The sequence below is a fragment of the Homo sapiens genome, chromosome 10, assembly GCF_000001405.40.
Source record: "Homo sapiens chromosome 10, GRCh38.p14 Primary Assembly".
NCBI classification, from domain to species: Eukaryota; Metazoa; Chordata; class Mammalia; order Primates; family Hominidae; genus Homo; species Homo sapiens.
The window spans coordinates 44,425,673-44,442,266 of NC_000010.11; the positions used below are offsets into that span (position 1 = coordinate 44,425,673).

At 45.9% G+C, this 16,594-nt stretch overlaps 1 annotated feature.

Annotated features, from left to right (window-relative positions):
• Positions 240–414: a silencer, noted in NCBI's record as "fragment chr10:44921360-44921534 (GRCh37/hg19 assembly coordinates)". NCBI's record gives its function as "represses an EF-1alpha promoter that drives an FKBP-Casp9 reporter gene in an ReSE screen in K562 erythroleukemia cells {active_cell/tissue: K562}" and the evidence as "EXISTENCE:reporter gene assay evidence [ECO:0000049][PMID:32094911]".

Consider the following 16,594-nt stretch of genomic DNA (forward strand, 5'->3'; position numbering starts at 1 on the left):
CATGACCCTGGGTGGGCGTTCGAGCTCCCTTTGTCAGTTTTCTCCTCTGTGAATGTGGTCGGGGCAATGCCCACCTTACAGCTGTTCACAGTCGCTGCAGTACATGGCACCTGTGGCACAGCCCGGCACAGTCTCTAGCACCTGGGCAGTGTAGATGGACGTGGGCTTCCCTTCTTGGATATCAATTCCATCCTGCCCCTGTTGGCTCCTCATAACAACCATTCTCCTCCATGTCTCATTTGGATGTCCTACTAGAAGGTGCAGAATCCCCCTGTCAACTTCTCTTAGAGCCCCCTGCCCCCAGGTTGGCCTTGTCCACCTCACAGAGAGACCCAGCTGTGGGGATGGGACAGGAGTTCAGTGTCAGCTCTGGGGTTGGGAGTGCTGACAGTGGAGTGGCTCCTGCTGTGGCTGGTCTGGTGGTGTGGTGTTTGTGGGGAGCGCACAGGCAGGACTGCACCGGGAGCCTATGGGAAAGCCATCCTGTCCTGGCTCCTGGGGAGGAGAAGCAGAACTGGGCTCACATCTCATTTCATCTCCATTTTTCTTCAGTAAAGATGAGAGGATCCCAGGGAGAGCCTGTGGCTGCCAAGTGTCTGCTTATGTCGGTTCTTGCAGTGAAGAAGGCCCAGGAGACCTGGGTACCTCTGGGGTGCCATCTGCCTCTCTCCAGGCCCTTCTGCAATGCCCAAAGCAGGACACATTAGCTCCACCATGCCACCTAGTCAGGTGTCTCGGGCAGGACTGTGGACACGGGAATACCTGAGCAGACAGTTAAGGGCACAGGCTGTTGGAAGCGGGAGTGCGGTGCCTGGCTGGCCTTTGCAGCAGGTTTTGGGAACACTGGGGCTACCTGGACTTCAGGGACCATAATGAGGGAATGCCTTTTTGCTGGCTTTGTGTATTTGGCCCTTTCCCACGAGTGCCTTCTGGTCTCTGGCCTGTCAGCTGTAAGTTTCTGATCTTGGCAGATTCTAGGCTCCTATCTCCCTCCCTCCCTCTTTTCACAACCCACTGGAACATGGGCCATAGTGGGCTTTGGCACTCAGGGAAGGCTGTGTGGGATGTGGGCCAAGGAGCTCCAAAGAGCCCAGAGGCCCCATTCCTGTCTTCAACTTGGTCACTCACATCTTAGGTTGTGACCAAAGTTTGGAAATAGGTCACAGGACTGTGAGCAGATAGGAAGCCTGCCGTGCTGAGTTGGGTGTGTGGAGGGCTGGGGACCTCGGGCCACCCAGCTCCTCATGTGGGGTGTGGGAGGGGCTGAGCTAACATCAGTTCTGCTAGTGGGAAAAGGCCACTATGTTCTTAGATCAGCCCTGAGCACCCAGTGGTTGAGCACCCCTTGTCTTATACATACTGTGCACTCTACTGGATGCAGTATGGACATCATGACGACTGCAGATGGAGGCTGACCTGGCATCTCACAGTGTCCTGGGGACGTCTGGTGGGGGGTACCTCAGAGAGAGATCAGTTTTCCTGGCCCTGTCCTACCTGGCTGTCCTGACCCTCAGAGCTATGTCTGGCCCTCGGGACCTGTCTTGGGCTCTACGTGCTGGCAGAGAGGCTGGTCCTGCTCTGAGGAAGCCAACCCTTGCTGGGAGCTGCTGTTTAAGCCAAGATGCAGGAAGCCTTTCTCCATGCAGGCCTCACGTTCAAGGTGTGCCACTTGGAGCTTGGGGGTCTTTGAAGGTAGCTTCAGTCTGGGATGTGGCTGGAGCCATTTCCTGCAGGGCAGTTTTGGAGCTGCACATGCTCTGAGAAATCCCAGTCCTGGAAGCCGCTGAAGGGGTAAGGGTCCCAGGAGAGAGGACTGATGGAAATGGTTTCTCACCTGGCCTGGTGTTGCCCATCCTCAAACTCCAGGTCCTGGACCTCCTGCTGCTCCCTGCAAGACTGTGCGAGGTGAGGAGGCCCAGGGGTCCCTGAAGCGGTTGGTGGTCAAGCCTGGGTCCCCTCACAGGCCTGTTCCAGGGAAGTCCCAGGGAATCTTTGGATGAGACAAGAGTGGGAGGAAAGACACACAGGGCTGAAGGACCAGTTACCACTCTCAGGTGACCTGGGGCCACATGTAGGGCCTGGGTGCCTCCTCAGTCACCCTCTCTGTTGAGCTCCTGGACCTCCTTCCCTCCCTTTTTCTGGGGTTGCAGGACTTGGGTTCACAGCTGGCTTTGCAGCTGCACCCTCATCCCTCTGTGAGGGCAGTCAGAGGCTCCTCCTGGTCTCCCTCAATGCCAACAGCCTCCTGACTTTTCCTTAAGCATTTGCTCTGAGATTGCTGGTGAAAGATGGAGCAGGTACTGGAGGGCAGGAGTGGCCCCAGCCCACAGGGCTCCCAGTGAGTCTCTCAGCCTCTTGAAAGAGAGGACAATCACATCTCACTGGGGCCCTGAATGTGTCTAGCTGAATCTTTACAGCCTGGAGACCAGCTGCATATTGTCAACCCTTTCTTAAAATATGGGGAAACTGAGGTTCCAGGCAAGGAAATTGCCAGGGTGAGGTCATCCACCAGGAAGCAAGCAGAAAGAGGTGTGACCACATCCACTTGACCACAGTTCCAGTTACTGTTCTGTGCCCCTCCTGGGTTGGAAAGGGCCTCCCATTAGAGGCTGAACCTCTGCCAGGAGAGGTCCCCCAGCTCTTGTCTGCATCTTCACCCTCTAGGAGGAAGGGAAGGGTGGGAGGGCAATTAATTTCAATAGGGTTTTGGGGCACGGGTGGTGTTTGGTTACATGGAAAAGTTCTTTAGTGGTGATTTCTGAGACTTTTGTGCACCCATCACCCAAGCAGTGTACACTGTCCCCAATGTGTAGTCTTTTATCCCTAACCACCCCTCCACCCGTTCCCCTAGTCCCCAAAGTCCATTGTGTAATTCTTATGCCTTTGCACCCTCATAGCTTAGCTCCCACTTGTGAGTGAGAACATACGATGTTTGGTTTTCCATTCCTGAGTTACTTTACTTAGAATAATGGTCTCCAATTCCATCTGGGTTGCTATGAATATCATTATTTCATTCCTTTTTATGGCTGAGTAGTAGTCCATTATATAAATAAGACAATTTCTTTATCCACTCTTTGATTGATGGGTTGGTTCCATATTTTTGCAATTGCAAATTGTACTGTTATGAACATGCATGTGCAAGTATCTTTTTCATATAATGACTTCTTTTCCTCTGGGTAGATACCCAGTAGTGGGACTGCTGTATCAAATGGTAGTACTTTAAGGAATCTCCACACTTTTTTACATAGTGGTTGTACTAGTTTACATTCATATCAGCGGTGTAAAAGTGCTCCCTTTTCACCACATATACACCAACATCTATTATTTTTTGATGTTTTGATTATGGTCATTCTTGCAGGAGTAAGGTGGTATCGCATTGTGGTTTTGATTTGCATTTCCCTGATCATTAATGAAGTTGAGCATTGTTTCATATGTTTGTTGGCCATTTGTGTATCTTCTTTTGAGAATTGTCTATTCATGTACTTAGCCCACTTTTTGATGGGGTTGTTTGTTTTTTTCTTGCTGATTTGTTTGAGATCCTTGAAGATTCTGGGTATTAGTCCTTTGTCAGATGTATAGATTGTGAAGATATTTTTCCCAATATGGGTTGTCTGTTTACTCTGCTGATTGTTTCTTTTGCTGTGCAGAAGATTTTTAGTTTAATTAAGTCCCATCAATTTATCTTTGTTTTGTTGCATTTGCTTTTGGGTTCTTGGTCATAAAGTCTCTGCCTAAGCCAATGTCTAGAAGTGTTTTTCTGATGTTATTTTCTAGAATTTTTATGTTTTCAGGACTTAGATTTAAGTCTTTGATCCATTGTGAGTTGATTTTTATATAAAGCGAGAGATGAGGATCCAGTTTCATTCTTCTACACGTGGCTTGCCAATTATCCCAGCACCATTTGTTGAATAGGGTGTGGTTTCCACACTTTATGTTTTTGTTTACTTTGTCAAAGATTAGTTGGCTACAAGTATTGGCTTTATTTCTGGGTTCTCTATTCTGCTCCATTGGTCTATGTGCCTATTTTTATACCAGTACCATGCTGTTTTGGTGACTATGGCCTTATAGTATAGCTTAGTTTGAAGTCAGGTAATGTGATGCCTCCAGATTTGTTCTTTTGGCTTTGTCTTGTTTTGGCTATGTGGGCTCTTTTTTGGCTCCATATGAAATTTAGAATTTTCTTTCTAGTTCTGTGAAGAATGATGGTGGTATTTTGATGAGAATCACATTGAATTTGTAGATTGCTTTTGGCAGTATGGTCTTTTCACAATATTAAGTCTATCTATCCATGAGTATGGGATGTGTTTCCATTCATTTGTGCATTTCAGCAGTGTTTTGTAGTTTTCTCCTTGTAGAGTTTTTTTACCTCCTTGATTAGGTATATTCCTAATTATTTTATTTTTATCACAGGTATTGTAAAAGGGGTTGACTTCTTGATTTGATTCTCAGCTTGGTTGCTGTTGGCGTATAGCGGAGCTACTAATTTATCGACTTAATTTTGTATCCTGGAACTTTGCTGAATTCATTTATCAGTTCTTGGAGCTTTTTGGATGAGTCTTTAGGGTTTTCTAGGTATTCAATCATATCATCAGCAAACAGCGACAGTTTGATTTCCTCTTTATGGATTTGGATGCCCTTGTTTTCTTTCTCTTGTTTGATTGCTCTGGCTAGGACTTACAGTACTATGTTGAATAGAAGTGGTGAAAGTGGGCATCCTTGTCTTTTTCCAGTTCTCAGGGGGAATGCTTTCAACTTTTCCCCATTTGGTATAATGTTTGCTGTGGGCTTCTCATAGTTGGCTTTTATTACCTTAAGATATATGCTGGGAGCAAGCCCCCCAAAATCTGACCATAAACTGGCCCCAAAACTGGCCATAAACAAAATCTCTGCAGCACTGTAACATGTTCATAATGGCCCTAATGTCCACGCTGGAAGGTAGTGGGTTTACCAGAATGAGGGCAAGGAACACCTGGCCTGCCCAGGGTGGAAAACAGCTTAAAGGCATTCTTAAGCCACAAACAATAGCATGAGAAATCTGTGCCTTAAGGACATGCTCCTGCTGCAGTTAACTAGCCCAACCTATTCCTTTAATTCGGCCCATCCCTTCATTTCCCATAAGGGATACTTTTAGTTAATTTAATATCTATGGAAACAATGCTAATGACTGGTTTGCTGTTAATAAATATGTGGGTAAATCTCTGTCGGGGCTCTCAGCTCTGAAGGATGTGAGACCCCTGATTTCCCACTTCACACCTCTATATTTCTGTGTGTGTGTCTTTAATTCCTCTAGTGCCGCTGGGTTAGGGTCTCCCTGACCGAGCTGGTCTCGGCAGGTATGTCACTTCTATGCTGATTTTGCTGAGAGTTTTAATCATGAAGTCATGCTGGATTTTGTCAAATGCTTTTTCTGCATCTATTGGAATGATCATGTAATTTTTGCTTTTAATTCTGTTTATGTGGTGTATCACATTTATTGACTTGTGTATGTTAAACCATTACTGTATCCTTGGTATGCAGCACACTTGATCATGGTAGATTATCTTTTTGATATGCTGCTGGATTCAGTTGGCTAGTATTTTGTTAAAGATTTTTGCGTCTGTGTTCATCAGGGATATTGGTCTGTAGTTTGTTGTTGTTTTTGTTGTTGTTGTTGTTGTGTCCTTTCTTGGTTTTGGTATTAGGGTTATATTGGCTTCATAGAATGATTTAGGGAGGATTCCTTCTTTCTCTATCTTGTGGAATAGCATCAATGGAATTGATACCAATTCTCCTTTGAATGTCTGATAGAGATGAGCTGTGAATCCATCTAGTCCTGGACTTTTTTTGTTGGCAATTTTTAAAATTACCATTTCAATCTAGCTGCTTGTTATTGGCCTGTTCAGAGCTTATGTTTCTTTCTGGTTTAATCTAGGAGGGTTGTATATTTTCAAAAATTTTTCAATCTCCTCTAGGTTTTCTAGTTTATGCGCACAAAGGTGTTTGTAATCTTGAGTGATCTTTTGTATTTCTGTGGTATCAGTTGTAATATCTCCTGTTTTATTTCTTTTTTCTTTTTTATTTTTTTTGAGATGGAGCCTCACCCTGTCTCCCAGGCTGGAGTGCAGTGGCATGATCTTGGCTCACTGCAACCTCCACCTCTCAGGTTCAAGTGATTCTCCTGCCTCAGCCTCCTGAGTAGCTGGGATTACAGGTGCCCATGACCACGCCTAGCTATTTTTTGTATTTTTAGTAGAGACGAGTTTTCACTGTGTTGGCCAGGCTGGTCTGGAACTCCTGACCCTGTGATTAGCCCCATTTCTAATTGAGGTTATTTGGATCTTCTCTCTTCTTTTCTTGGTTAACCTCACTAATCATCTATCAACTTTATTTATCTTTTCAAAGAACCAGCTTTTTGTTTCATTTATCTTTTGTATTTATTTTGTTTCAATTTCATTTGGTTCTGCTCTGATTTTTGTTATTTGTTTTCTTCTGCTTAGTTTGGTTTGTTCTTTTTTCTCTAGTTCCTTGTAGTGTGACCTTAGATTGTTTATTTGTGCTCTTTCAGACTTTTTGATGTAAGCATTTAAGTCTATGAACTTTCCTCTTAGCAGCACCTTTGCCATATCCAAGAGGTTTTGGTAGGTTGTGTCACTACTATCATTCAGTTCAAAGAATTATTTAATTTCCATCTTTATTCCATGTATTTGCATGGTTTTGAAGGTTCATTTTGGAGTTGATTTCCAGTTTTATTCCACTGTGGTCTGAGAGAGTACTTGATACAATTTCAATTTTTAAGAATTTATTGAGGCTTGTTTTGTGGACTATCATATGGTCTATCTTGGAGAATATTCCATGTGCTGATAAATAGAATGTATATTCTGCAGTTGTTAGAATGTTCTGTAAATATCTGTTAAGTTCATTTGTTCTAAGGTATAGTTTAAATCCATTGTTTCTTTGTTGACTTTCTGTCTTGGTGGCCTGTCTAGTGCTGTCAGTGGAATACTAAAGTCCCCCACTATTCTTGTGTTGCTGTCTATCTCATTTCTTAGGTCTGGTAGTAATTGTTTTATAAATTTGGGAGCTCCAGTGTTAGGTGCATATATATTTAGGCTTGTGATATTTTCCTGTTGAACAAATCCTGTTATCATCATATAATGTCATCTTTGTCTTTCTAAACTGTTGTTGCTTCAAAATCTGCTTTGTGTGACATAAGAATAGCTACTCCTGCTCACTTTTGGTGTTCATTTGCATAGAATATGTTTTTCCACCCCTTTACCTTAAGTTTATGTGAGTCTTCATGTGTTAGGTGAGTCTCTTGAAGACAGCAGATACTTGGTTGGTGAATTATAATACATTCTACCATTCTGTGTCTTTTAAGTGGAGCATTTAAGCCATTTACATTCAACTGTTAGTATTGAGATGTGAAGTACTATTCTATTCATCATGCTATTTGTTGCCTGAACACGTTGTTTGTTGTCTTTTTCATTGTGTTTTGTTTTATAGATCCTGTGAGATTTATGGCTAAGTAGGTTCTATTTTGGCTTATTTCCAGGATTTGTTTCAAGATTTAGAGCTTCTTTTAGCAGTTCTTGTAGTGCTGGTTTGGTACTGGGAATTCTCTCAGTATTTGTTTGTCCGAAAAAGACTGCACCTTTCCCTTATTTCTGAAGCTTAGTTTTGCTGGATACAAAATTCTTGGCTGATAATTATTTTGTTTAAGGAGTCAAAGATAAGGCCCCAATCCCTTCTCACTGGAGGATTTCTGCTGAGAAATCTACTGTTAATCTCATAGGTTTTCCTTTATAGGTTACCTGGTGCTTTTGCCTCACAGCTCTTAAGATTCTTTCTTTCATCTTGACTTTAGATAACCTGATGACTATTTGCCTGGATGGTTATCTTTTTGTGATAAATTTCCCAGGTGTTCTTTGAGCTTCTTGTATTTGGATGTCTAGATATCTAGCTAAGCAAGGGTAAGTTTTCCTCTATTATTCCCTCAAATATGTTTTCCAAACTTTTATATTTCTCTTCTTCCTAGGGAACACTAATTATTCTTAGGTTTAACATAATCCCAAACTTCTTGGAGCCTTTGTTCATCTTTTAAGATTCTTTTCCTTTGTCTTTGTTGGATTGAGTTATTTCAAAAGCCTTGCCTTTGAACTGTGAAGTTCTGTCTTGTGCTTGCTTAATTTTATTGCTGAGACTTTCCAATGTATTTTGCATTTCTCTAAGTGTGTCCTTCATTTGTAGAAGTTGTGATTGTTTTTTATTTATGCTTTCTATTTCACTTAAGATTTTTCCCTTTGTAGCTTGTATAAGTTTTGTTTGTTTTTGTTTTTGTTTAAATTTCATTAAAGTTGGACTTCACATTTCTCTGGTGCCTCCTTGAATAGCTTAATAATTGACTTTCTGAATTCTTTTTCTGGCAATTCAGAGATTTCTCCTTGGTTTGGCTCTGTTGCTGGTGAGCTAGTGTGATCTTTTGGGCATGTTAAAGAACCTTGTTTTGTCATATTACCAGAATTGTTCTTCTGACTCTTTCTTATTTGGGTAGGCTATTTCAGAAGGAAGATCTGGGGCTCAAGGGCTGCTGTTCATATTTTTTTTTTGTCCCATGGGGTGCTCCTTGGATGTGGTGCTCTCCCCTTTACCCTAGGGATAGGGCTTCCTGAGAGCTTAACTGGAGTGATTTTGGTTTCTCCTTAGGATCTAGCCACCTAATGGAGCTACCAGTCTCTGGTCTGGTATTGGGGAGGGTCTGCACTGAGTCCTATAATGTGAACTGAACTGTCTCCAGGTCTCTCAGTTGTGGATACCAGCACTTGCTTCAGTGGACGTAGCAGGGGAGTGAAGAGGACTCTGCAAGGGTCCTTGGTTGTAGTTTTGTTTATTGCACCATTTTTGTGTTGGTTGGCTTCCAGCCAGGAGGTGACAATTTCAAGAGTGCATTAGCTGCCATAGTATAGGGAGGATCAGGTGGTGGGCAGGGCCCTAGAGCTCTGAAGAGATTATGTCCTTTGTCTTCAGGGTTTTTTGGCTGTCTCTGGGCACCTGCAGCAGCAATCCACTTCCTTCAGAGGGTCTGTGGATTCTCTCCGCTTTCCGGGTATGTTGCTATGGTAGTTCTTGGAGCAAAAGTTCACGATGTGAGTCTCCATACACTGCTCTGTCCAACCGAGTGGGAGCTGCAAGTTAGTCCTGCCTCCTATCTGCCATTTTTCCAGGGTTCTGATCATCTGTCCTTTCTTCTGTAGAGTCTTAGGCTGGGGAGGTGCAGGAGAAGGGGAAGTGGGTACCCTGATAATGCAGTTTTCCTGACCAGGGTCTCCAGTTCTTTGGGACTTTGAGCCAACTAAGACAGAGGCAGAGACAGGAGCTCCACGCCACCTGTTCTCTGCCCACATCACTGGCAGGGCCCCCAGGGACCTCTGCTCTTTGGGACCAACAGACACATTTGCTCTTCACTCCTCTAAAGTAGCCCTGAAGGCCGGGGCTTTCAGCCTCAGCCTCCTGTGGCCTCAGCCTCGCTTGTTGCAAAGTCTCAGGTATTTCACCTTCCTACCCCCAAGTGGGGAATCAGCTCGAGGAGTCAAAAGAGATGTTTCTTTTTCCACTCGGGTCACTGTCCAGTGTCCCCAAAGCATAGATGGATCCGAGGTGAGAACCTCTGTGGACTGAGAGAAGCAGTGGTGATGCATGTCCTTGACAAGCTGGGACTAGACTGGACACACCAGCTTCTGTCCAGATCTGCTTGCTCATCAACTTCACTTGGCTTCTGCTTTGCTCTGCACCCTGGTTCCGGTAGCTGCAGGGATATTGAACTCACATTTCAATGGCACTATCATGCCTTGGCCGCCAGAACCTAAACGTTAGAATCTGGCTCTTCCCTCTTCCCCTTGCCTCACTTTTCACCAAATCCTGATCATGCATCCTCTGCCACAGCGAGAGCTCTTTCCCTCCTTGCTGCCCTCCTGCCCTCTGCCTGGTTTAGCCTCATGGCTTCCTTCCTGCATTATTTTAATGACCACCTGCCTGTGTACCCCTCGTCCCCAGGCTCCCTCCTCCAGGGCACCTTCCCTTAGCAGTGAGAGAGATCTTTCCAAGGCATAGCTGGGGTCCCCACTTTCTAGGAAGAAAATGCAATGTCTCTCAAATAACATTCATAGGATTTTCATGGTTCTTGAGGGAGAAACGGGAATCCACATATCTCACCTGCCTTTATATACCAGAGAAGAGGCAGCAGACTGCCAATTCCCTGCAGAGGCCCTGGGATGGAAGGCTCCATCCCTGTCCTAGCCACTTGTTCTTCCCCTGCATCTGTGGCCTCCGGGCTAGTGTGCTCAGGGATCTGACTGCTGCCTTGGCACCCTCAGCCCCATCATCCTTCCCATGAAGTGCCCTTTCTCAATGAGTAGCCTCATCCACCACTGTCACCCAAACCCCAGGCCCATCCTTTGCTGTATCTTCCCTACTTATCCAGCTGGTTGAAGCTGCCTCTGAGTGCAGTTAATCTGCTCTTGGTGCCCTCTTGTCTCCTGGCCCACCCTCACCTGTGGATACCTGGCGCTGCCTCTCCAAGGCCATCCCTCCCACCAGTGTTTGCCTTACCCCTGTCCCCTGCCTCTCAAGTCAGAGGTAATCCCTGCTGCTGCTAGGGTGATCTGTCTAGTGATAAAATCCGACCTGCTGGTACAGCCTGCAAGCCTCACTTGGTCCTCCCCTCCCCTCCACCTCAGCTCCCAGCATCCTTGTGCACCTGTGGCCAACCATGCCCAGCTCTTTCTCATGTGCATTGGCCTTTGAACATGAGCTGTCTTTGCCTGGAGCATCTTTTCCCTCCTGACACTGGCAAGCTGCTGCTGGGCCTGCCCTTCTCAGCATGATTTTACCTCTCCCAGGAAGCTCTCCAGGGACCCTTAGGCTGGGTCTCATGTGCTGGCTCTTGCTTCCTCAGCACTCTGTTCATGCTGGAGAAATAAAGTGGCATAAAGTAGAGTCCTGCTCCTTAAGGTTCGAGTGTAGACCTCTGACTGCTCCTGCAACAATCACTTCTATCACCAGCATCAGCAGGTTTTCCCTTGCCACTGCATCTTTCCAACAGCACATCAGCTTGCAGTGAAAGCTTGGTCTTTAAAAATAGGAATATGAAGCTTGTTTCCTGCCTCAGGACCTTGTTCCTGACCCTACTCCTTCCTGGATGGCCCCCGTGCAGGTCTTCTCAGGGTCATCTTGACTCCGCATCCCTCCTGCAACCACCATCCCACTTCTCTGCTCCTCTCTAAAGGAACATCTGCAGAAGTGGCATGTCTAATACCAAAATGTTGGTTCCTACCCCAGAACTGCCCCATCCCCACAGCCCTGTTCTACCTAGACAGGGTCCGCATCTCACGGAGGGCACTGCCATCTTCCTGTTTGGCCTTCCCACCCAGGAGCTCCTACTGCTGCCTACCCTACTTCCCATAGTGCTTGGGGTTATGATCTCCATGTGCTTCTACTCCAAACCACCTGTAGTTTCCTGTCCCTTCCAGAAGAAAATCCAATCCCAACACCGTGGCCTGTAAGGCCCTGACCACCTCCTGCCATGCCTTCACTTGCCCTGTTCCAGCTACACTGACTGTGAGATTCCTATAACATGAAGCTGTTTTTTCTCACTCCAGGACCTTTGCATTGACTCCACTCCTTCCTGGACAGCCTTCCAGGCTCTTCTCAGGGTGTCTCCCTCACATCGCTCAAGTACGTTCCCTCAGAGAGGCCTTCCCACACCTCCGGACCTGGTGTCCCTGGCCATGTCCTCTCCTGCTCCCTGAACACAGCAAGCTTCCTTCCATTCATATTATTTATCAGGACCTGAAATGGTCAATTTATTCACTTATTTATTGTCTGTTTCTCCTTCTGGAAATATAAACTTCCGGGCAGGGACCTCATGTGACTTATTTATCACCTAAACCCAGGGCCTGGCTGGTACTGGAGGAGCTGATGGGCCCTGGGGGTTCCTCCCAGCTTCATGACATGGCCCACCGCTGGCCTTCTGCATCAAGGCTGGGAATACTGTAGCCAGAAGGAAAATCTCTCTGTTAACATGGAATTAATAAAAGAATGCTTATACATGGTTGCAGGTAATATATATATAAGATAAAAATGACATTCTGCCGAGAGATAGAGAGAACCCATAAACTGTTTTTCCTGCATCCTTACATTGTCTTCATATGAAAAGAAAATTTTAACTGCTGGCTTACACACTAGTTTTAGATGTAAGCCACCATTTATGAGACCTTTTGGTAAGTGCTGAAGTAAAGTGATGAGCAGGAAACCAGGCCAGCATGTCCCGGCACCAAGAATGGGAGTGGCCACAGGGCAGCCTTCCCTGGAGAACTTGCTCTGATGCCCCGTGAAGTCCTGTGAGCTCTGGGGCCAGAACCTGGCCTGGTACCCCTGCGCCCCAGGGCTCTGCCCCAGTCCATGATTCTTTCTGGGATTGTCATGGACTTAACTCATTACCAAACACGCATAGCCCCTTGAGGAGTTTTGGCACACAAGGCATTTGGGATGTCTTGGGGAAGAAAATGAAATACTTTAATGTAATCAAAAACACAGGAAGCAGATGCCCCTGAAATATAATATGTTCTAGGAGCTGCTCCCCTGCTGTGTGGCCTTTCATGCTCTGCAATATTCCAATGCCTTTTTTTTTTCCCCACAGAATCACTCACATGTCACTTTGGTGAGAGGATGAGGCATTCAGATTGGGAGAACTTGTTGCTTTGTCAGCATTATTTTCAGACAAGAAGTTTTACTTCTTGTTTTTATATTTTGAGAGAACAATGTCTTACAACATTCAGGAATTAGTACTTTGCATTTTCAGGTTCACTTTGGTGCAGCCCTTAGGGTGCTTGTGGGTCTGGCCCAACCTTCCCTGGAATGAGTCTTCGGTTGAGGGGGCCTGACGTCAGCGCCCTGCAGGGTTCATCTGTGTCACCTAAAAGTGTCCGGCTGCTTGGCCTGGCTATTTCTGCTGAATGCACAAAAATACATTTTGCCTTTTCTCCTTCCAAGTTGCAGTTTCTTTTCTGCAAATGAAGCAGAAGAAAAGTGCTGCATTGACATGATGAACTGAAAGCACACTCACTTCAGGGACATGTTTCTTCAGTTGGGAAATTCCTCTTTTATTTGTGACTAGTTGTTTTCTTTCCTTAGTCAACTTCCTTCAACCCTCAATGCATGTGACACACACACACACACACACACACACACACACACACACACACATAATCGGGGTGCCCAGAAGTTCCCAGGGCCCAGCACTGGCTCTCTGAGACTGTAGGCTCTGGGGGAGGGTGGGCTTTAGGGAAGGTGTCTGTCTAGGGTGGGGTGTGCAGGTGAAGAGCTGGGGTTGGCCTATGAGAGACCTGGGCCCCACTGGCTGCCCCTTGATGTCCTCTCTGATCTTGTCTTTTCCATCCATGAAACAGAGGTGAGCCACAGTGCCGAGCCCACAGGGGTGGGGAAGTCACTGTGCACAGCTCCAGGCACAGAATAGGTGCTGGGTGAATGTCAGGTGGGACTCCTCCCACTCAGGGAGAGTGTGAGGCAGTGGAGGAGAGGTGTCAAGAACCCCTGAAGCATCCTCCTGGGGAAGCCACTCACAGGAAAATGATGTGGATTTGAAATCTCTTGGCTCCTTCTTTTAAAGCCTCCTAGGACCCCACATTTGATGTGCAAGCTCAATTCTGCAGCCAGACCCAGAGTGCCGTGCTCCCTCTCTCTCCTTATTAGCAAGCAACCCAGTGACTCACTGCAACACAGTGCCCAGGATTGTAGGGACAAGTGGAGGGTGTCTGCACAGACTCCCTGGCCAAGGCACATGAGTGCTCCTCCCAGCCCTGCCCTCTGGCCCCCGTTTCAGAAGGGACCACTCGGGACAGTCAATCCAAGTGATGTGTCCAAGCAGGCCCTCCTAGGAGTTATCAGGGTGCAAATGCAGGTCATAATCACACCAGCCACCCACCCTTTGACCGCTGCTCCCCAGACACCCCCAACACCTGAGCCCTGCCGCGAGGGGTATGGCCAGCCTGCCATCTCCAGGAGTTTCCGGAGCACCCCAGGCTGGTCCATGGTGCTGGGTCCAGCCCTCAGAAAGACCTTTCCAGCAGGCTTGGATTCCTGCCTCTTGGGTGGTCTGATAAACTGTCCCCTGGCTGGTGTTTGGGCCAACTGTACCAGCTTCCATCTGATGTTTCTGGCAGAGGAATTCTTGAGGCCTCTGCACCTCGTTAGCCCTCAGAATGGGACTCACTAGGCTCAAGTGTGGGTCATTACTCGGATCTGTGAGCTTGTTGCTGTGACCTTGGGTCCGCTGACCAGATGGCCCAGATGCAGGGGGCCCGGGAAGCCCCAGGCCCTGCAGGAAGCCCCAGCTGGGGCTCCCTGCTCATCCCGTTAGAGGAAGGGCTATGGTAGCAATTGTTTCAGGCCTGAGGCATGAGGGGAGCCAGGGGAACTTGATTTGGGAGGTAGGCAGGCCAGGTGCAGGTCTTGACTTTCCAAGTAGCTGTGGCCTTGGGCAAGACCTCTACTTCTCTGAGCCTCGATTTTATCCCCTGCTGTGTGGCCATGGATGGAAGTCCCAGGGAGGGCACAAGGACTCACTCACCACAGTGTCAGACAAGAACTGGTTCTCAGCAAAGGAGAGCTCACATGATGGTGCCTGTGGATATCAGAGGCACAGAAAACAGGACACACACTTTTGTTAATTTAAGTTTAAAAAATAAAAATGAATAAAGATTAGCCCCTTTTTGGCTTGTCAAATCCCAGCCAGGCCACACTCTTCCTTTTGCAAACCATCCCATCCCAGTTCCTCACTGAGACATTTGCCATCCTGCAGGTGTGGATCGCCTTCCTTGTGAGCCTTTGCTGTTTCAGCACTGTGCTGGGCAGTGGATGGGCTCCCACTAGCCTTTCTGTGCCCTGGAGTCTGTCAGCCTTGGGCCTTATTAGTGATGTGACCCATGAAGGGAACTGAACTCCTCTAAGCCTCAATTTCATCTTCTGTAAAGGGGGTGTAATGAATGTCCTGGTCAAACTTGCCCCAGGCATTCACATACTATTGTATGAACATTGCACTGCGGGCAGTGCCCGGCATGTGGCTGCCTTTTAGAGATGGGAGGAAGGAATCAAGAATATCCTGTTCTGAACTACCTGCACTACACATAAAGTAGTATGTGAATGTGGACTTAGATTATTAAAAATGTGTATTGTAGTCCTTGCCCATGCCTATGTCCTGAATGGTAATGCCTAGGTTTTCTTCTAGGGTTTTTATGGTTTTAGGTGTAACGCTTAAGTCTTTAATCCATCTTGAATTAATTTTTGTATAAGGTGTAAGGAAGGGATCCAGTTTCAGCTTTCTACATATGGCTAGCCAGTTTTCCCAGCATCATTTATTAAATAGGGAATCCTTTCCCCATTGCTTGTTTTTGTCAGGTTTGTCAAAGATCAGATAGTTGTAGATATGCGGCGTTATTTCTGAGGGCTCTGTTCTGTTCCATTGATCTATATCTCTGTTTTGGTACCAGTACCATGCTGTTTTGGTTACTGTAGCCTTGTAGTATAGTTTGAAGTCAGGTAGCGTGATGCCTCCAACTTTGTTCTTTTGGCTTAGGATTGACTTGGCAATGCGGGCTCTTTTTTGGCTCCATATGAACTTTAAAGTAGTTTTTTCCAATTCTGTGAAGAAAGTCATTGCTAGCTTGATGGGGATGGCATTGAATCTATAAATTACCTTGGGGAGTATGGCCATTTTCACAATATTGATTTTTCCTACCCATAAGCATGGAATGTTCTTCTATTTTTTTGTATCCTCTTTTATTTCATTGAGCAGTGGTTTGTAGTTCTCCTTGAAGAGGTCCTTCATGTCCCTTGTAAGTTGGATTCCTAGGTATTTTATTCTCTTTGAAACAATTGTGAATGGGAGTTCACTCACGATTTGGCTCTCTGTTTGTCTGTTATTGGTGTATAAGAATGCCTGTGATTTTTGTACATTGATTTTGTATCCTGAGACTTTGCTGAAGTTGCTTATCAGCTTAAGGAGATTTTGGGCTGAGACAATGGGGTGTTCTAGATATACAATCATGTCATCCGCAAACAGGGACAATTTGACCTCCTCATTTCCTAATTGAATACCCTTTCTTTCTTTCTCTTGCCTGACTTCTCTGGCCAGAACTTCCAACACTATGTTGAATAGGAGTGGTGAGAGAGGGCATCCCTGTCTTGTGCCCGTTTTCAAAGGGAATGCTTCCAGTTTTTGCCCATACAGTATGATATTGGCTGTGGGTTTGTCATAGATAGCTCTTATTATTTTGAGATATGTCCCATCAATACCTAATTTATTGAGAGTTTTTAGCATAAAGCATTGTTGAATTTTGTCAAAGGCCTTTTCTGCATCTATTGAGATAATCATGTGGTTTCTGACAAAGGGCTAATATCCAGAATCTACAATGAACTCAAACAAATTTACAAGAAAAAAACAAACAACCCCATCAAAAAGTGGGCAAAGGACATGAACAGGCACTTCTCAAAAGAAGACATTTATGCAGCCAAAAAACACATGAAAAAATGCTAACCATCA